This window comes from Homo sapiens, chromosome 2 (assembly GCF_000001405.40).
Source record: "Homo sapiens chromosome 2, GRCh38.p14 Primary Assembly".
In the NCBI taxonomy this organism is placed as follows: domain Eukaryota; kingdom Metazoa; phylum Chordata; class Mammalia; order Primates; family Hominidae; genus Homo; species Homo sapiens.
In genome coordinates this window covers 214,820,632-214,842,846 of record NC_000002.12, presented here as the reverse complement: position 1 = coordinate 214,842,846, position 22,215 = coordinate 214,820,632, and the positions used below count along the sequence as shown (strand labels likewise).

The window sequence follows — 22,215 nt, the reverse complement described above, 5'->3', positions numbered from 1 at the left end:
TTTAACTGACTCACAGTTCTGCGGGCTTAACAGGAAGCATAACTGGGAGGCCTCAGGAAACTTATGATCATGGAGGAAGGCGAAGGAAAAGCAAGGCACATCTTCCCACGCTGAAGCAGGAGAGAGAGAGAATAAATAGTGAAGTGCCACACACTTTCAACCAGATATTGTGACAACTCACTATCACGAGAACAGCAAGGGGAAGGCCCACTCCCATGATTCAAATACCTCCCACCATGCCCCTTCCCCAACACATGGGGATTACAATTAGAGATGAGATTTGGGTGGGGACACAGAGCCAAACCATATCACCCAGACTGCTCTCAAACTCCTGGGTTAAAGTGATCCTCCCACCTTAGCCTCCCAAAATGCTGGGATTAAAGGTATGAGCCACCACACTTGGCCTGTACTTCTAATTCTAAATGTATGAATGTGTAGGAAATAATAATCCTGAAACCTTCAGAAATCCCACAAATTCTGGAGAGGAGAGTAAGTATGAGCCATTCACATTCTAAAGGCTCGGACCAGACCTCAGAGTCTTAGGATCTCTGAGTCTCAGCTAAGCAACTGACATCTCCCAAGTGAGCTGCTATAGTTTGGATAGGCTTTGCTTGGCTCCGCCAAGTCTCATGTTAAAATCTGATCCTTAGTGTTGGAGCTGGGGCCTGATAGGAGGTGTCTGGATTGTAGGGGGAGATCTCTCATGAATGGCTTAGTGCCATTGTTGGGAGAGTGAGTGAGTTCTCATTCTTAGTTCCCACAAGAATAGGATGTTGAAAAGAGCCGGGTACCTCCTCCTATCTCTTGCTCTCTCTCTTACCATACAATCTCTACATACCATGAGCAGGAGGAGCCTGAAGCCCACACCAGAAGCAGATACTGGAACCATACTTCTTGTACAGCCTTAAGAATCACAAGCCAAATAAACCTTTTTTCTTTATAATGTACCCAGCCTTAGATATTCCTTTATAGCAACACAGATGTACTGAGACATAAATTTGGTCCCAGGAGTCAGGTGTTGCTATTAAGATACCTGAAAATGTGGAAGAAGCTTTGGAACTGGGTAATGAGCAGAGGTTGGAAAAGGTTGGAGGGCTCAGAAGAAATAGAAAGATAAGAAAAAGTTTGGAACTTCTTAGACACTGGTTAAATGGTTGTGACCAAAATGCTGAAAGACATATAAACATTTAAGGCTGTGCTGATGAGGTCTCAGGTGGAAATGTAGAAACTGTTAAGAACTGAAGCAAAGGTCACCTTAGTTACAATATAGCAAATAATTTGGATGCATTGCATGCATGCCCTAGAGTGGCAATCTACAGTATCCAGCAAGAGAGATTTCTAAGCAGCAAAGTGTTTAAGAAGTGATGTGGCTGCTTTCAACAGCTTATGATCAGATGTGGGAGAAAAGGAATGACGTGGAGTTTGAATTTATAATTAAATGAGAAGCAGAGCATAAAAATTTGAAAAATTTGCAGTCTTGCCATGTGGTAGAGAACAAAAGGAGCATTTTCAAGAGAAAAATCCAAGGGTGTTAACAAGCAACCACTTGCTGGAGAGATCAGCACAGATAAAAGGTAGCTGGGTGCTTCTAGTCAAATCAGTGGGAAAAAGGCCCAAAAGCCACTTCAGAAATATTTGAGGCAGCCCCTCCCATCACAGGCCCAGAGGCCTAGGAGGACAGAATTGTTTGGGGTACACACCTGGGGCACCACTGCCAGATGCCACCTTAGGTTGCTGCTTCCTGCATACCAGCTACTCTGACTCTAGCCATGGTTGAAAGGGCCCCAGATACTGCTCTAGCTGCCACTCCAGACAGTGCAAGCCATAAGCCTTGGAAGCTTACATGTGATATTAACTCTGCAAGTATGCAAAATTTAAGAGTAGTGGAGGTTTGGTAGCTTCTACCTCAATTTCATAGGACCTATCAGATAGCCCAGGTGCCCAGGCAGAAGTCTGCCACAGGGGCACAGCCACTGCAGAGGGCCTCTACTAGGGCAGTGTGGGACCAGTATGTCAGGCCTCTGAGCCCAAGTCAAGCTATCGCATCCCCTGTGACTTGCACGTATACGCCCAGATGGCCTGAAATAACTGAAGAATCACAAAAGAAGTGAATATGCCCTGGCCACACCTTAACTGATGACATTCCACCACAAAAGAAGTGTAAATGGCTGGTCCTTGCCTTAACTGATGACATTACCTTGTGAAAGTCCTTTTCCTGGCTCATCCTGGCTCAAAAAGCACCCCCACTGAGCACCTTGTGACCCCCACTCCTGCCCGCCAGAGAACAAACCCCCTTTGACTGTAATTTTCCTTTACCTACCCAAATCCTATAAAACGGCCCCACCCTTATCTCCCTTTGCTGACTCTCTTTTCGGACTCAGCCCGCCTGCACCCAGGTGAAATAAACAGCCATGTTGCTCACACAAAGCCTGTTTGGTGGTCTCTTCACACGGACGCCCATGAAACAGTACTGCTGTCCTCCAGGTTCCAGAATGGTAGAGCCACCAGTAGCCTACAATCTTAGCCTGGAAAAGCTACAGGCATTGGATTCTAACAGTGAGAGTGGCCACATGGATTATGCCTGGCAAAGCCATTGGGCCAGGGCTGCCTAAGGCCTTGGGAGCCCACCCAATGAACTAGTGTGGCTATGGGACATGAAGTCAAAGATTATTTTGGGTCTTTAAGGTTTAATGTCTGCCCTGCTGGGTTTCAGATTTGCCTGAGGCCTGTTACCCCTTTCTTTTGGTCAAATTATCCCTTTTGGAAAGGGAATGTTTACCCAATGTCTGTTGCACTATTGTATCTTGAGAGTATGTAACTTGATTTTGATTTTACAGACTTACAGCTTGCTTTGAGTCTCAGAAGAGATTTTGGACTTTTGGGTTGGTACTGGAATATGTTAACACTTGTGGGAACCATTGGGACAGAATGATTGCAATGTGGGAAGGACATAAGATTTGGGAGCCCAGGGGAGAAATGCTATAGTTTGGATAAGGTTTGTTAAAAGTGTCATGTTGAAATTTGATCCCCAATGCTGGAGCTGGGGCCTGCTGGAAAGTGTCTGGATCATGGGCACAGATTTCTCATAAATGGGTTGGTGCTATTCTTGAGTTCAGTAAGTGAGTTTTCACTCTCAGTTCTCGCAAGAACTGATTGTTGAAAAGAGCCTGGCACCTCCTCTTCTCCATCTCACTTCCTCTCTTGACATGTGATCTCTACACACCATAAGCAGAAGCGGCCAGAAGCCCTCACTAGAAGAAGATGCTGGTGCCATGATTTTTGTACAGCCTGAAGAACCATGAGTCAAATAAACCTCCTTTCTTCACAAAGTACCAGCTTCAGGTATTCTTTTATAGCAACACAAATGGATGAAGACATGAGTATTTATAGCAATTGCATGCTTCTAAGAAAAACAAAACATATATCCCCCTCTCAATCCCATCTCCATCTTTCTTAGATTCACTGGGTCTTATCTTTGGCCCACCCAGGGTACAGCTTATATTCCAAGTCTCAATTTCCTTTGGAAGGAGGCTTTGCTGGTGAAGGGAACCAGAATATGTCACCCCAAAATATGCCTAATTTACATAAAAATTATTTTGAGCTGAAGGTAATTAAGCAGCAGCAAATGCAGGAAAAGCTCCCTCTACCCTCCCCCTTTCCTGCCTAAAGGAAAGATATAAATTCTCCTTTACCAGAAACAGCTCTAGACACTTAAACCAGCCTAGAGATAACACCAGAGAAATCTGCAAACAAACCTTACTTCATTCATTTCCTCACATATTTTTACCTTCCTACTGTTTGCCACCCTTGGAAGCCTAAAACCACTTTTCTTTGTCCTGTCATTTCTTGACAAATTTGTTGTTCTTTGTTTGAAGATGGTGTATCAGCCAGAGTTCTAAGCCACTGATTTGAGTTACTCTGTTGAGGTTTCTCCTGTGTGATGTGCATTGCATGCATTATAATAAACTGTTTTTCTCTTCTTAATCTGTCTTTTTGGTTAATGAGTCCCAGCTAAAAACCCATGATGGGTGGCCAGGTGCGGTGGTTCACACCTGTAATCCCAGCACTTCGGGAGGCCAAGGCAGGTGGATCACCAAAGGTCAGGAGTTCAACACCAGTCTGACCATGGTGAAACTCCATCTCTACTAAAAAAAATACAAAAATTAGCCAGGTGTGGTGGCATGTGGCTGTAGTCCCAGCTACTCCAGGAGGCTGAAACAGGAGAATTGCTTGAACCTGGGAGGTGGAGGTTGCAGTGAGCTGAGATCGCGCCACTGCACTCCAGCCTGGGTGACAGAGAGAGACAGTGTCTCAAAAAAAGAAAACCTCAAGATGGGTAGAGGTAAGTTTGCTTCCCCTGTGCTGGTAACACGCTCATGCACTGACATCCTTTTGGAGGGTGGCAGCTTTGGTAGTTGGGTCCAGTCATTCTTGGAGCCCCTGACACCTCCCTGGGATGCCATGAGGAGATGGAGTACAAATTTGCTGCTTCCAGAACCTCTAATCACCAACCCTTCAAGATCTGGAACCTTTTTCAGTTTTTGTCATGTCTGGTTCCTGATCTTAGAGTCCCAAAGCCCATCTCCTTTGCTGGACTGTGTTCTTTTACAAACTTTTCTTAACTCTGTAAGACAAGCCCCAGATCTCCATTCACCCTAAAGCTGAACTGAGACAAAGGGGTATGAGAGAGAAAAATAAATATCTCTTGTGTTTCTCACATGCCTAAGCTGTGCAAACAAAACACAAATTCATATTTCAGTGGATTATTCTGGAACACAGTAATAAAATGGATCATACCATCTCTTGCCTCTGGCCTTGGCATATACTGCTGCTTCTTCCTGGAATATGCTGCTACCCCCTCCTCTTTAACTGGCTACCTCCTACTCTTCACATCTTAGGTTAAACATCACTTAGCAAATTTAAACTATGCCTTAATTCATTATTTCAAAGAATCAACACAGATTAAAGATTTCAAGAACATAAATATACTTTCATATATGATATTCACTACCATAGCTTAAATTAAGGAGAGAGTGGCCTCCCAAGACCTGCAAATAAAGAGAGATTTCCCTTCAGGGGTTCCTACTTCCTTCCTGCAACCTCCTCTTCTTAAAGGCATCCACCTTTTCAAGGGTTGTGGGCTCCTGACCCTTTCCATTACCCTTTCCCAAAGTCTTCCCACAGAAAAGGATCATTAATTGCTCATTTCCATCTTAGTGCAAATGTAAATCAATGTGTTAAGTCTCCTGGGGTATTCAGGCTAAGCCAAGATACTCTGGTGGAATGAGAGACTTTGTTCCCAAATAAAGTGATGTTAAGCTGCAGGAAGAAGGATTTTACTTATTGCAGTTTAATATTAAGTGACTTTGGGCCTGCCCCAACCTCTCTCTATCAGTAAAATAATGCTGCATGTATTCTGATTTTCCCAACAATTACTTTGGAAACTAAACGAGATAATGTATCTGAAAATGTCTACAAAGTATTACATAAATGCTATTGCTATTATTAGTTAAGTTTTACCAACTTAACATCCATTGGCATTCAAGGCAAATCTGGACACCCTTTATTCATAATGCCTGGATCTCTCTCTAAGTTGCTGCATTCAGTATACTTCCATGTAGATTTACAGTTTCAGACTAGTTTCATAAAGTAAGAAAGCATATTTCTTTAAGAATAAAACAATACCTATGTCTTGCAATAATTTTTCTTGTAATCTTTTTCAAAATCTTTTGTCTCAGGGGAATCTTCTATGTTTTTCTTACTTTTGCACTATAGAGCATTTTATTTGTCTATATAACTTAAAATATTTTTTCTCTCTGCCCCAAGAGCTAAAATGTGATATTAAAATAACTCATCTCTTCATTTTCAATGAAAATGAATTAAATCCACCATTATCTTTTAATTAATTAGGGGAAAAGGTTTTACTTATTATTTCTTACAGTTGAATTGCACTGATCTCTAGAGTCTGTGAAATTAAGAAATTAAAACTTAAGGCTGTTGGAACTTCAAATTATTCTGAGCTTTGAGAGAGATGTGGCTATGCAGTCTGAGTCACAAGGCATGCAGCTGCAACTTCTGACTTTTTTTTTTCCTGTAAATAATTATGACCAAAGAGTGCCAGAGATTAGAGTCCCTCAGATCACTGTCCACCCATCCTTAGGAAATAATAAAGTAATCTTCCTTAGAATGTAGCAATCTATAACCAATGAAATCACTGTAACATATGCACTGGTCTCATATGAAGCATGTAACCTGCTAAAATTTCTCTTTCTGCCTATATAAATGAAACTTTACCTTTCCCACTTTAAAACACTGATCTCATTTGTTTGGAGTTGTGTCTCCTGGATGGCTATCCTTAAGTGTTGCACTGGAATAAATGCTATTCTTAATAATCTTTTCTGACTCTCATTATTTAAGATCCCTCTCCCTCTCCCTCTCCCTCTCCCTCTCCCTCTCCCTCTCCCTCTCCCTCTCCCTCTCCCTCTCCCTCTCCCTCTCCCTCCACGGTCTCCCTCTGATGCCGAGCCAAAGCTGGACGGTACTGCTGCCATCTCGGCTCACTGCAACCTCCCTGCCTGATTCTCCTGCCTCAGCCTGCCGAGTGCCTGCGATTGCAGGCGCGCGCCGCCACGCCTGACTGGTTTTCGTTTTATTTTTGGTGGAGACGGGGTTTCGCTGTGTTGGCCGGGCTGGTCTCCAGCTCCTAACCGCGAGTGATCCGCCAGCCTCGGCCTCCCGAGGTGCCGGGATTGCAGATGGAGTCTCGTTCACTCAGTGCTCAATGGTGTCCAGGCTGGAGTGCAGCGGCGTGATCTCGGCTCGCTACAACCACCTCCCAGCCGCCTGCCTTGGCCTCCCAAAGAGCCGAGATTGCAGCCTCTGCCCGGCCGCCACCCCGTCTGGGAAGTGAGGAGCGTCTCTGCTTGGCCACCCATCGTCTGGGATATGAGGAGCCCCTCTGCCTGGCTGCCCAGTCTGGAAAGTGAGGAGCGTCTCTGCCCGGCCGCCATCCCATCTAGGAAGCGAGGAGCGCCTCTTCCCCACCGCCATCCCATCTAGGAAGTGAGGAGCGTCTCTGCCTGGCCGCCCATCGTCTGAGATGTGGGGAGCACCTCTGCCCCACCGCCCTGTCTGGGATGTGAGGAGCGCCTCTGCTGGGCCGCAACCCTGTCTGGGAGGTGAGGAGCGTCTCTGCCCGGCCGCTCCGTCTGAGAAGTGAGGAAACCCTCTGCCTGGCAACCACCCCGTCTGAGAAGTGAGGAGCCCCTCCGTCCGGCAACCACCCCGTCTGGGAAGTGAGGAGCGTCTCCGCCCGGCAGCCACCCCGTCCGGGAGGGAGGTGGAGGGGGTCAGCCCCCCGCCCGGGCAGCCGCCCCGTCCGGGAGGTGAGGGGCTCCTCTGCCCGGCCGCCCCTACTGGGAAGTGAGGAGCCCCTCTGCCCGGCCAGCCGCCCCGTCCGGGAGGGAGGTGGGGGGGTCAGCCCCGCCCGGCCAGCCGCCCCATCCGGGAGGGAGGTGGGGGGGTCAACCCCCCGCCCGGCCAACCGCCCCGTCCGGGAGGGAGGTGGGGGGGGTCAACCCCCCGCCCGGCCAGCCGCCCCATCCGGGAGGGAGGTGGGGGGATCAGCCCCCCACCTGGCCAGCCGCCCCGTCCGGGAGGTGAGGGGCACCTCTGCCCGGCCGCCCCTACTGGGAAGTGAGGAGCCCCTCTGCCCGGCCAGCCGCCCCGTCCGGGAGGGAGGCGGGGGGGGGGGTCGGCCAGCCACCCCGTCCGGGAGGGAGGTGGGGGGGTCAGCCCCCCTTCCGGCCGGCCGCCCCGTCCGGGAGGTGAGGGGCGCCTCTGCCCGGCCGCCCCTACTGGGAAGTGAGGACCCCTCTGCCCGGCCAGCCGCCCCGTCCGGGAGGAAGGTGGGGGGGACAGCCCCCCGCCCGGCCAGCCGCCCTATCCAGGAGGTGAGGGGCGCCTCTGCCCGGCCGCCCCTACTGGGAAGTGAGGAGCCCCTCTGCCCGGCCACGACCCCGTCTGGGAGGTGTGCCCAGCGGCTCATTGGTGATGGGCCATGATGACAATGGCGGTTTTGTGGAATAGAAAGGCGGGAAGGGTGGGGAAAGAATTGAGAAATCGGATGGTTACCGGGTCTGTGTGGATGGAAGTAGACCTGGGAGACTTTTCATTTTGTTCTGTACTAGGAAAAATTCTTCTGCCTTGGGATCCTGTTGATCTGTGACCTTATCCCCAACCCTGTGCTCTCTGAAACATGTGCTGTGTCCACTCAGGGTTAAATGGATTAAGGGCGGTGCAAGATGTGCTTTGTTAAACAGATGCTTGAAGGCAGCATGCTCGTTAAGAGTCATCACCACTCCCTAATCTTTAAGTACCCAGGGACACAAACACTGCGGAAGGCCGCAGGGTCCTCTGCCTAGGAAAACCGGAGACCTTTGTTCACTTGTTTATCTGCTGACCTTCCCTCCACTATTGTCCTATGACCCTGCCAAATCCCCCTCTGCGAGAAACACCCAAGAATGATCAATTAAAAAAAAAAAAAAAAAAAAAAAAAAAAGATTGACATACCTTAAGTCAAAAACAAAACAAATAAAACTACATTTTTCTGCCATACCAAAGATGTACTGTTCAATCATTAGTAGCATGCATTTCATACTTCCTGCATATCACCAAAACACTACATTTTTCCTTTGATCAAATCTTATGAATTTGGGTGATTAAAAATGATCATTGCTTACCGATATTGAAAGTTTAAAGATTTCCAAGCTTATTTAAGCTTTCCTGTTACTGGTTCTTGTGAATCTCTTTTCCCATGAAGTCATCACATAATTTTGAAAAGTAGGCAGCTAATTACGCTAGGAAAAAAGAAATAAAAGAATATGTAAATTTATTTTCTACTAAATTGATATACACTAGGCAAGAGTATGGCTGCTTACGTGGCTAGGCAATACCCTGTGAACTCAAATCAAATAAGCCACTGAGTTTTTCTCACAATGATACCCTTAAGAATAATCAATCATTTTTCTTTCTCTTTTTAAAATTTATATTTATTTATTTATTTATTTACTTATTTGTTTACTTTTGAGGCAACGTCTCACTCTGTCACCCAGGCTGGAGTGTAGTGGTGGGATTTCGGCTCACTGCAAGCTCCACCTCCAGGGTTCAAGTGATTCTCCTGCTTCAGCCTCCCGAGTGTCTGGAATTATAGGTGCACACCATCACACCCAGCTAATTTTTGTATTTTTAGTAGAAATGGGGTTTTGCCATGTTGGCCAGGCTGGTCTCAAACTCCCGACCTCAAGTGATCTGCCTGCCTCAGTCTCCCAAAGTGTTGGGATTACAGGTGAGAGCCACTGCGCCCGGCCAATCAATCATTTTTCAAATTCAACCAACTGACCTCATGACCTTAATCATATATATATATATAAAATCTAAAAAGTGCCTGGCACTTTTAATATATAGTAGTATAGTACATTGTCAAGAAACACTTGCTGAATGAATGCAAAGATGTATAAAATACAAAATTTTGGGTACATATGCTCATGAAAGGCATGAAAAAGGCAACTACGCATCATAAACTATTTAGAGATGTGTTAATAACACTTGATTATTAGACAAATGGTAGCAAAAAGCAATGGTGAACCTGTAACAGCAGGCTTCTGGAAGACATATAGTTTGAGAATCACTCGGACAAAATAATTCATTCTGAACTGTAGTAAAAACTAGATTCAGTTATCAGTTCTACACAAATTACTTAATTTGGGACTCTGAAACACAAATGTCTAAAGCAGCCAGTCAGGAAATAGCTGAGCAAAGGTACTGGAACCATTGGGAGTGCTGAGCATGGACTAAACTAGAGGACACTTGCTTGGTTCAGGAGCAGATATTTCTCAGCAATTTCAGTCATTATCATATTGGATTGAGAGTGCCATATTGCCAGATGTTTCCATTTTTCAAGACTTTTAAACACTGGTGATTCCATTATTTGGAAAATGCCACCTGGCCAAATTTGGCTCTTGGATTCCTAATTCTGACCTGGACTTAATCTTCCCAGGCCTCAGATGATGTAATTATGTGACAGTGCTATGTAAACTAAACACCATTTTTTCGGTGGTTCATAACATCTTGGGTCACACACCTTTCCAAGATTCTGATGAAATTATGGATACTTTCCTCAAAACAACTTGATATAAGTGACATTTTGGATAAAATTTCATGATATTCATGTGCCCCTTGAAGGGTGTTCATGAACTGTTAAGGATTACATGGACCCAGCTTAAGAATCCCTGGGTTAAACAAATACAATATTAAAATATTATACTGATGTCTCTTTTTTTCTTTAACTGCCAGGAAGCTCAGACCCAGATCTGTGGCTCTAAAATAATAATTGTGTAAAATCCTAAAATGTCTACTTTTCAGTTTGATTTTGCTCCTTGGTCTTGACCTTCTAAAATTCCTTCTATTTCTTCCATTCTATGAAATGATAGACTCTTTGTGTTTTAGTTGTAGTTGCCTATTTTATTGCCTGCATTTTTTATAACCCACCTAAAATTCCTTGAGCAATAAATAAATAAGAAATGATAGTAAACTGTAACAGGAGTAATACTAACGGACACATATTTGTTCCAAATGAAGAGTAACTGTGAAGTAAAGACAGTTCTCTAGTATCCTCCTAGCTCTCTCTTCTCTCATTTTCTCCTTGTAAGTTATTCTTCACCCTCTTCTGATTGTGCTCATGCTACCTTGGTTGCTCAGAGTTCCCCAAGGCTGTCTTCTACCCAAGTCCATTGTCTCATGGTAACAATCTGTCTTGTATCTGCCTTGGGCTAACTACCTTAGACCTCTGCTGACATCTTCCTCTTAAGGCAGAAGATGTCTGAAGATGTCTTTCAGAAGAACTGTCTGACTGTGTCTCATTTCGACAATCACAGTCTGCTTTACAATGTTATTAAATGTTTTGCAACATGATTGTGCCATAGGGCTACATAAAGTTTGGTGTCTTGTCCCTCTTTTATAGGCTCCATGGCTTAGCAAAGTGGTGAGTATAGATAACAGCTTAATAGACACAGATTAAGTTTGAGTGTACTACTTGTTATTCAAAGCCTGCTGTTTTTTTCCATTTTTTCAAACAGGCAAATCTCTCAACAAAAATGTCACTTTTTCAATAAGCTTTCACCAGGTGATGCAATGAAACCTGGATCCACAAGTGAACATCGGGATTTGGGCAGATGAAGAATATTTCTGTCTGGAAGCCATAAGAATTAGTGCTATAACTAATCTGACTGAATTCTAGGGATGATGAAGTGAACACAGATCACCGGGAAGTGGAAGATTAACAAGAGAATATGTTCCTTGCTATACAGTTATAATCTGGGAGCTTATGGTTTCTGATAATTTCTCAATCCATTTTATACTTTTATTAAATCTGTTATTAGGTTACAAGTTATTAGACTTAGATGTAGCCTGTTGTTCATTGCAAAACATGGCCTTCAAGTAAATGCTAATATGGCTTCTAAAGGTTAATGTCACCAGAGTCAGATTTTTCTAAGCAGCAGTTTAAAAGGTTTGACATTTTCTGAGTTGCCCCTGAGAAAGTGCCTCTCTAAAAGCACACCTCCTGCCAGAATGTAGCACTTTCAGAAGCTAGACTCATTTCAACAAACGCTGAGTGCCTACTATATACTAGGCATGCTGGTATCGGGGGAAAAGGAGGGCTTGCCTTCGAGACAATAGAGATAGTGATTAGATCTAAAAGAACCAAACACTAACCCCATCCTCTCCCCACTGTTTACTGGCAAAATAGCACAGCAAGGACAGGTAACATGAGAGTATAAAGGAAGAGCTCATTAGGGGAACTTGGGAGCACAGAAAGACTTCCTGGAGGGGGCGATAAAGCAGCTGAGTTTTCAGACATGAGTCAGGATTATGGAGTTTATATTTCTGACATCTAACAACACCATGTATTAATAGTCCATCATCTCGTATTTCTTGAATTTATATAGTGTAATCTTGGAACAAAAAACAGTAAATATAATCATCCCTTAATGGATCCCTGTGGACACCAAAATCGTCAGATACTTATGTCTCTTACATAAAATGACATAGTATTTGCTTATAATCTACACACATTCTCCCACATACTTTGAATCACCTCTAGAGTACCCATATTACCTAATACAATGTAAATACTAGGTAAATAGTTGTTATACTGTATTTTTTTTTAGTTTGTATTATTAGTATTATTGCATTGTTTTTGAGTATTTTCAATCCATGGTTGTGTGAATCAACCCATGGTTCAGACATGGAACCCACAGGCACACAGGATCTACGGTATAGACCTAGCATGAAATTGTGTGATGGCGCTCAGCTATAAGGTAGCCATTCCAGTGATCCATAACATGTTTGTATCAGTTGATTTTTCAGACTATCACATTATTAGCAGGCACCCAGGACTGGTCTAACAGTTACAGAATGAGAATCAGAAGGTCTAGTTCTACATAAAGAACTTCCTACAGAAGTGCCTTTTAAAAAGAGGCTCTGGGCCTGGTAGGCAGTTTCTCAGCGGTGGGCAGTCTAATTGCAAGTTTAATTGCATAATTTCTTCAGTGAAAGGAGAATGGATTCTTTGACTCTATGAGCCTATAGAATAATAAGGGTACAAATAATTACAATTGAGGAAATATGATAAATCCAAGGGAGAATACCCAAATTCATTAAATCTTATTCATTATCAGTTACAGCTGTATACAGCAAGGCTAAGAGGATTGCAAAGTGCTTAGGGTAAAGAGGAAGGTAGGTTGACTTTAGTAAAACTATCAATGAGTTTTTATATCTCTATTGATTTTCTTGCAGGAGTTAAGGTTCTTCCCTTTGGGAGGAAAGGAGGGGAAAAGGGCTGGGGGTAGGAATAAATGCAGAATCAAGTAAAAGTGAGAGAATCACGTTAAGAAAGACCAAATTGCAATTTGTCCGATTTATGCAAACAAATTAAGTTGGAGCAAAGCAGATGTGAAGATTGAATAGAAATTTCTGAGTATGGTGACTTCTCTGAGTGGAAGCCCAATTTGAAACCCCAGAATCCACATCCACAATTCAGGGTTCTTTCCATCATAATCTGATGCCTGCTATTTTTATGGTCATGAATTTGAAAGCTTCAGAGAGGTAGAGTAAAATGTCAAGGAGGTCTTTTCCGCTCAGAGACCCTTTCCTCTGCAGAGGAAGCTGTTTCTCTTTCTCTTCTCTTCTACCTATTAAACCTCCACTCCTAAAAGAAAAAAAAAAATGTCAGTGGTTGTTTGCAATCCGTAGAGATTGTCTGGAGGAAAGACATGGCAGTTACTTTGGTCCAGAATTTTCATAATCTTTTTTTTTTCATGCACCTCTCATAGTAATATACAATTTTTCAATCCCCCTTGGGAACTTTTAAATCATTCGGTAATTTTTATGTACTAAGTTTATATGTGTGTGTGTGTGTGTGTGTGTGTGTGTTATATAATTCATACATATACATATTCTAAAGTTGTCTTCAGTGATCAACTTTAATCATTCCTGGTTGAGAAAGGAATGATTGAGAAAGGGTCTTCCCTTTTGTCTTTATAAATTTATGTCTTGCTTTTAGGCAAATTAAGGAAGGGCAGAGAGCTTTTCTTATATCTGCTTCTTCTCAAATGCCATCAGCTCAAAATAATCCTTATGCCAAAGGAGTATATTTTGAGGTGGCATATTCTGGTCTCCTATAATTATAAGATCATAATTACATTTTAAATTGTCTTAATTTATAGTTATGTTTTCCCTATATATACATATAACAAAGTTTAGGAAGGTAAAATCTCTAAGGGTAAAATCAAAACATACTTCTAAAAGATTGTGTTTCTTTCATATAAAAATTTAGTTATTTATAGGATGTTTGGAAACAGGCCATTCTTGACTATTCAGAGATCAGAGTGAGTTTTCATAATCAAATTCCTGGATTTATAAAACATAATACAAAACTGGCCACTTACAAAATTAGTCATCAAATAACATGGACTACTCTCTGCCTCTCATTAGCCTCTATAATTCTCATTGCTTAAAGCACCAGTACCTGGACAGTATGATATAAAATACAATGCAAATCAAATTCAAAGTTCAAAATACAAATATTGCACAAGATGCAAACTTTCTTAAAGTCATTGAAAGTGATATGGAGAATTATTAGAATCATAAGCAAATAAGAATTAAACCACTCAACAACTAAAGAGAAATGCAAGAGCCATGATGACAAGTTAGGAGCATCAAAAGATAATAATTTGAGTATCAGAAGATTAAGAGAGGCCCTTAAGAAAATGGGGATTAAGAATGTCATGTCTTACTATCAAAAACATTGTTTTGCCCGGGTGCAGTGGCTCATGCCTGTAATCCCAGCATTTTTGGAGGCTGAGGCGGGTGGATCACAAGGTCAGGAGTTCAAGACCAGCCTGGCCAAGATGGTGAAACCTTGTCTTTACTAAAAATACAAAAAAATTAACTGGGCATGGTGGCGGGCGCCTGTAGTCCCAGCTATTCGGGAGGCTGAGGCAGATAATTTCTTAAACCCTGGAGGTAGAGGTTGCAGTGAGCCAAGATCACCCCACTGCATTCCAGCCTGGGCGACAGAGTGAGACTCTGTCTTAAAAAATAATAATAATAATAAAAAATTAAAAAACATTGTTTTGCAATGTTACACTCCCAAACTATGGGATTTCATTTTTAATTCATTCTAAAAATCAATACATAATTGCAGTTATAAACCAAATATTATTAAATGTAATTCATTTTCACAATTTTTATTTCCTTTTTCAAGCTAAAGAGCTATCAAATATTTTAAAATCTTCTTGTCCTTCCTTCTTCTCCTCTTGTTCCTTCTTTTCCCATTCGCTTTCTCCAGTATTTAATATAAAATTGTGGCCCAGCAGTTAAGATGGTCCACCTTAAGTGAGCTTTTCCCAGTCCCAAATAGTGTCAGAGCATGAGGAACTTCTGTGCAAAATCGGAAAAAGGAATCAGCCAGAGCCATCCGGAATCTCAATATTTGGAAAAAGATGAAAGAGCAGGCACCTTTGGGACAGAAATAATTATACTTGCTCCAAATTCTGTGGCCTTTTCTCAGTTCTCAATCCCTAAGCTGTCTTATCACTGGAGGAGAAAGCCTTTTAAAAAGAAAAATATAACCAGTAAACATTTTCAGTCTATTTCTCCCTGCACCATCTTCTTCACCTAAAATCCCAAGTCTTCTTCAAAATAAGGGTTTTCAAGCCTAAATAATATTCCTTCTATGGCTTATCCTTGAATGAAGTTTTTTTTTTCTTTTTAACTTTATTATTATTTTAATAGAGATGGGGTCTTGCTTTGTTGCCCAGGCTGGTCATGGACTCCTGGGCTCAAGTGATCCTCCCACTATGGCCTCCCAAAGTGCTGGGATTACAGTTGTGAGCCATCACTCTGTTTTTTTCTTTTGAATCAACATCTCTTGGATGTTCTCTTAGATGATCATGCTACTCCATCCAATCTCCTAAATAGGAGTAGGTGTTTCTGAAAGTGCTTGCCCTTCCTTTTCTGCATACTTTCTCCCAGAATGTCCTAGAAATCAGAAACCATGCTTTTAAATTGCTTATTTATCATTTCAGAGACCTTTCTAAACACTTTCTGACCAAAACAAACAAAAAATCCTATTTTTTTGTTTTAAAAAATCAAGTTTTTAACCAATCTAACATGTATAATGTGCAAAAATCTCAGAAGGCATTTCTTATTGTATTATTACTCTGTGGCGTATTAAAACAAATCTCTTTCATTCTAGGTTTGAAACTTGATCTCTTCCCTATCCAATGTATTACTATTTTTTTAAAAGTCTAGGTATCAGAGAACCCCACTGCCTGAATAAATTTTCAGTCTCTTTCTGGCTTGAGTAATTGAAAAGCGGTATATGACTGAACAGCCTTGTTAATTATGATTCAGCCAATGCCATCCATAAAAGTGAGGAATAAAAAATATTGGTACATATCTTCCCAGTTCATTTTAATGAACTATAGGTAATTAGTACTTGACCTTTTGGTCATCTCTGCTTTTAGTATAGACGCATAATAGACATGAGTATTAGGCATAAATTTTAGGCTAAGTTTGAAACTTGAGGAGCTATATTTGTAAACTGTATTCCTCAGACACTTTACAGTTGATCTTAATAGATTATTTTAAAGAAAATCTCACCAGTAATATAGCTCCAAATATGAAATGATTACTCTTTACAAAAACATGCCTTATAAGATTTTAAAATTATATTTAACTTAAATAATTAGGTAAAATGTAGTTCATCAACTGTGATTAAAAAATGTTTCATGATATTCTTCATTTCACTTATGCAGAATATGAGTAATGTGTTGTGGAAAAGGAGCTGTCATCCTCTCTAAAGTCATGTCAGAAAGCAATTTAAAAATTGTTCATTATTTTATTTTTTTTGAGTCAGTGTCTTGCTCTGTTGCCCAGGCTAAAGTGCAATGGTGCAATCATGGCTCACTGAAGCCTTGACCTCCTGAGCTCAAGTGATCTTCCCACCTTACCCTCCCCAGTGGCTGGGACTACAGGTGCATGCCACCATACCCTGCTAATTTTTAAAGTTTTCTTTTGTAGAGACAGGGTCTCACTATGTTGACCAGGCTGGCCTCAAACTGGTCTCAAGCAATCCTCCTGCCTTGGCTTCCCAAAGTGTTGGGGTTACAGGTGTAAGCCACCACATCCGGCCGGCCCAGGTTTATCATTTTAAAAACAAATTCACAATTTTAAAGTTATTCTTTCTGTACTTGAATTTCTGTGAGCTAAAATATTGATTTTCACATTTTCAACTTATATTAAAAAATGCCAAAACTTGTAAAATAATGAATACTATATTTTTATTTGAAGTCTCTTGTAGGTATTTTAATAAATAAACCATTTGTACTAAGTATCACATGAAAAACATAACCTGCGGAGTTATTTTAAAACATAGAGGCTGCTGTGCAAGTACTCGGAATATCGTTGTACTTCCCTTCTTTTCCATAAAGCATGGTGGCATTTTTCACCTTAAGTCTTTCCTTTAGGAAGTACATTGTTTAGTCTTTATTGGGATTTTGTAGTCAGGGAAAGAAAAAGAAGTGTATTGTTGGTAATTCATATTTCTCTCTTAGCAAGGCAAGGTTCTTTGTTGCTCTGACAGAACATGAAAGTCTTGATTCATGTTTGCATAGAAGTAAGCTATCAAAGTATATCATATCACTACCAAAACTATTTTACTAGCTTTGTCACATTACAAATTGATTTTAAAATATACTTGTCTTATAAAGTAAAAAACTGCATTACTCGTGTTTAAACACCGCATAAACCAAATTTAATGATCTGTTTATTTTTCATGCTTGCATGGACCAAGTTGTTTGCACTTCAGAATGTTGTGATCCGCAATTATTTACTGCAGAAAAACTATTAGTTCTACAATCTGTGACTCTTTAATCTTATAAATTTAAGAATGAGTCAGTTTAACCTTATATCCTAGTATAATAATATATTTGTATGTATGCCCTATTATATTTATATACATTTGATTTTAGTTGTAATGTATAGTGGTTTTGTTCTAGGCTTACTTATAAACTTAGGTAAAGTACAACAGAGAAATGCATCTATGAATTGACTTATGGATGAAAACTACAAACATTTCAGCTTGTGTAAAAGAAGATGATGTATTTATCTATTTTATTGTCTTGCGAGGTCTATATTTGTATCCTTTATTTTCAAAAGTTAATTACTTTATTTAGAAGATTAATGAATCAAATACCCTTTAAGCTGGTATCACCACTACTTCAAAACTGGTGTGGCTTGTCAACAAGTAAAACTTGACATTCAAGAAATACTCAAGTAATACTTCACAATTTTTGAATAATTACAAACACTTAGCAGAGCTAAGCTTGTCAAAGTTGTTTCATCTATGAACATATTACTGCTGTAATTTGATTTAAAGACACGTAGTATATAAATGAGACTAGAAGGGGACATAGAGCTATGATTCTGTTTGATCCAATATTAAAATTATCCTCTGAATGGGCAGATAAAATGGTTAATTCAATATTTTAAGAAATTATCCTTAGATATGGATTTTTTACTATCTTGTACTGATGTTGTATGATAAAAAAAATTACCACCTTAAGTCTTAGGACATCTTTATTTAAATTATAGTTTTTTTTTTTTTTTTTTTTTTTGGCTGCAGTTTACCTACTGGGACAGAATGAGCTAGATTTTGTGATTCTCACCCAATGCTTCAACCATTTATTCTGGCACCCTATAATTCAAGAAAGGAAGTTTAATTCCTACTTGGAAATGAAATATAGAGGAGAAATTTCAAAGCAAGCCACATTATCTATTGATCATAATGGGAATTACACAAAACCTTGGTAGGTTTTTTAAAGAAGGTATTTTTTTTTCTACGGAGGCAATTGTGCACTGACAATTGAAGTTAATAATTTTGTTTTAATTTTAACAAATGTGAGGTTGGCTGAGTACCTCTTATTCTGAGTTTGGACAAAGAGAAGTATAATAACCTCTCACATGTATGCTTTACAGACTACTTTTACATAGGTATTCCCATTTGATCCTCACAGCAACGCTATGAGAAGGCAATTATTATTTTTTCCATTTTAGAGTTAATAAAAGGGAAGCACAGGTTGTGAACTCTATGAGGACAGGGTCAGGTCAGTCTTATTCGCCCCTCTAATTCCAGCACCTAATATAGCAACTGGCGTATGATAAGCTCTCAGGAACCATTTGATGCATGAGATTAATTGGAAAGATTTTAGCATTAAATGGCTTTTTAATGCTAAGACTTTTTCTTCTTCCCAAGGTCGCTCCACCTGATAAAACTTTTAATGGTTTTAAAAAAAAAAAAAGTAAATGAGAGGGCCAGGGCTTGAATAAACATGTTACAGCTCCAAGAACACTGCTGCCTTAGTTTTTCTTTTTTTTCCTACTCATTATTAGTTATCCCATCCCTTTTGTTTCTCTTTTGTCCCCCTCAAAATGCTTATAAATTCTTTTTAAAAACATATACATTTTAAAATGTATTTTTCCTTTTATTTTTAAATACTCCTAACCATTAAAAATAGTTGGAAAACAAAGAATATTTTTCCTTTTTCTGTTCTTGGTTTTTATAATTACTGTTATCACAGCATCCTCCTTCACCTAAAGCAATAAGCTGGAAACATGTGAAAATCTTCGACATCAAGCCCACTGAGTGTGAAAACAGAACTCTATTGAGAAGATAATATGATCAGAAACAAATTCAGGTAATATGTTTTACCCATAAGGACTGTCATGTCTTGCCTCTGGAATGATAAGCATGCATTTCACAGGCTGGCTGGGCAGTTTGGAGAGTGAGGGAAATAGAAACCTGAAACACCTCGTACCATATCTATCTTGCCCACCTTGTTTGGGAGCAAAACGTTTCCCCTTGGGAGCAGGATGTACTGTTTTTCTGATATTAAAAAACATAACAAAAAAATAGAAGCCTTCACCCAGTCTTACTGAGATAAAACAAAAGATTCGATTTCAAACCTGGCTCTCACAAATCTGAGCTTTCAGCAGGCACCATCTTTGCTGGCAATATTACTTTCCCAATTATTTCCAGGTTCTGGATTGCTGGGTCCTGCCTCCCTCCTTTCTTTTCTTTTCTTTCCTCCTTCCCTCCCTCCTTTCTTTCATCACATCATGATGAGCTATATATAATGTATACAGCTACTTCACTTGTACAAAAGAGGCCTGGTGAGGCAAGAAACATCTTCACCTTTATACTCAGTTACATGGCTAACATGGCATTTTCCAGGGGCCAGCCCTCATAAATCCAGACTTCAGATTTGTTTCCATAGCAATCCTATATTCTGCTAAAAAACATTCCATAATTAAGGACTCTTGTTCTTAAAGTTCTCAGCCACCCCAATCCTGGGATTTTCCCTGGCTGCTTTTAATCGATTCAAGTCCAGTCTATGATTATGACATATTGATTCCTCTCTCTGCCCCACCATCCTCTTTCCTCTCTTCCTCCTTCCCATGGCTTAAACTTAATTTCTCTCTTTGCCTCATGGAAAGTTACTTTGGGTTCTGCTAATTCCCCTCTTAGCCAAGCATCTTTTTTTTTTTTTTTTTTTTTTGAGATGGAGTTTTGCTCTTGTTGGCCAAGTGGAGTGCAGTGGCGTGATCTTGGTTCACTGTCACCTCCGCCTTCCGGTTCAGGTGATTCTCCTGCCTGAGCCTCCCGAGTAGCTGGAATTGCAGGTGCCCACCACCATGCTCAGCTAATTTTTGTATTTTTAGTAGAGACGGGGTTTCACCATGTTGGCCAGGCTGGTCTCGAACTCCTGACCTTGTGATCTGCCCACCTCGGCCTCCCAAAGTGCTGGGATTACAGGTGTGAGCCATCACACCCAGTCTTAGCCAAGCATCTAATCAAGAATTTTCCCAAACCATCTCACAAAAGAAATCTGGTCTGACATGTTAAGAAAATGAATTTTTTTAAACTTTTGATTTTATACACTCCTAGGTTTTATTTTTCTTCAGACAATGGGAAGAGAAGAAGTAGATTGAATCTATTGGAGTGCAGAAAACAATACCCTAAAATATGCCCCATTGGCAAGCTAAGTGCTTTGAATTAAAGAAAACTGAAAGGCCTCAGAAATAAGCCTCAGAACTAAAGTCTCTCTCTGACCTTCCCCAACCACCCTCTCTCTCTGACCTTTTTCCTTGCTCAAAGCACCAAGAGAGATTCTAAGATTTCCTTATCTGACTAAGGAAGCTTCTTTCCAACAGAAATGCAATTGTCTTAAGACCCACTTCCTAGAAATCTCATCAAATGACCAGGAAAGTTCAACCATTGAAGAAGAGAACTGACTGGGAGTCAGCACCATGCCTAGGCTTTTCATCTCTTCTCTGACGGCAGCTCCAAGAGATTACTTACCTACAAGACTATTTGCATATTTTCCCAGTGAAGTTCAGCCACTCATCATCCTGCCACCTCCCCCAGAACTCTGAGAAACTTCATCCCAGGCCATTGTTCTTGGGGTTCATTAATTTCCCCTGAAAATCATTTACTACTCCTCATGATTGACTATATCTCATATTTCCTTGTCTATTATGAAGAGGGTAGTATCAACCATCTGGCTCTTCTTTGAATCTCGTATTTTAAATGTTTCCTATGTTTATGCATGTTCAATAAATTTGTATGCCTTTTTATCCTATTAATCTGTCTATTGCAGTGAAACTTCAGCAGGTGGAGAGGAAGCTTTCTCTCCACCTATACAAACCTAAGCAATACTCACCAAAAGCCAGAAAAATTTAGTCATTTTAGAGAACTTAAAGGGCACAAACCATCCCAAAAAGGGTTGGTTATCTGGAAATCTCTGGGGGCAGTGGGGAAGCCTTCTCCTAAGAGAAAAGAGCAATTTTGGTCTGGAAATAATACCTTAGCATCTAAGGGCCAAGCTGATTTTGATTACGGCATGTGTCTTCACTCTGTCCTCATTCATTCATTCCTACACCTATTACATCCCTGGTGCTGTCCTAGGTACAGGGGATATAGCAATGTACAGACAACAATTGATGCTTTCTTGAAGCTGGTGTTGCATAAATAAATATAAATAATAAATTACACAAGTTAAATATATAATGTGCGAGTTGGTGAGACACATAAAGAAGGAAAAGTGGGGTAGAAAGTGTTCCTCCAAACCAGCCCCTCATGGATTTGTGATATGAATGGAAAAAGCACAAAACCATAAGAGCCAATTTTGCATGCTTCTGAGAAATAATGAAGGCATTGGCAGCACTAAATTATTTGAGTAGACACAAAAATGGGGAAAAGCCACAATCCCTATTTTAGTAGAGCTGTGTGGAAATGGAGTACCTTGTAAAGGCAGCACCTAGGGAGAGTTTTGGACTGGAGGGGTTGAGGGGCTTGAAGGAGCGAGGAGCTCATGACCTCAGAGCATGCCAAGCTTCAAGCTTCTTTTATTTATTTATTTATTGAGAAGGAGTTTCACGTTTTGCACAGGCTGGAGTGCAATGACATGATCTCGGCTCACTGCAGTCTCCACCTCCCAGGTTCAAATGATTCTCCTGCCCCAGCCTCCCGAGTAGCTGGGATTATAGGTACGCGCCACCATGCTCGGCTAATTTTGTATTTTTAGTAGAGAT

General features: G+C 40.9%; 1 long non-coding RNA gene across 1 annotated transcript in view; it reads right to left on the bottom strand.

Moving 5' to 3' along the window:
- Positions 1 to 22,215, bottom strand: part of SNHG31 (small nucleolar RNA host gene 31) — a 153,377-nt gene that overhangs the window by 120,759 nt on the left and 10,403 nt on the right. Inside the window, exon 2 of the long non-coding RNA NR_110292.1 lies at positions 8,742 to 8,858. This is a non-coding gene — a long non-coding RNA (small nucleolar RNA host gene 31). The remainder of the gene's footprint in view (positions 1 to 8,741; positions 8,859 to 22,215) is intronic.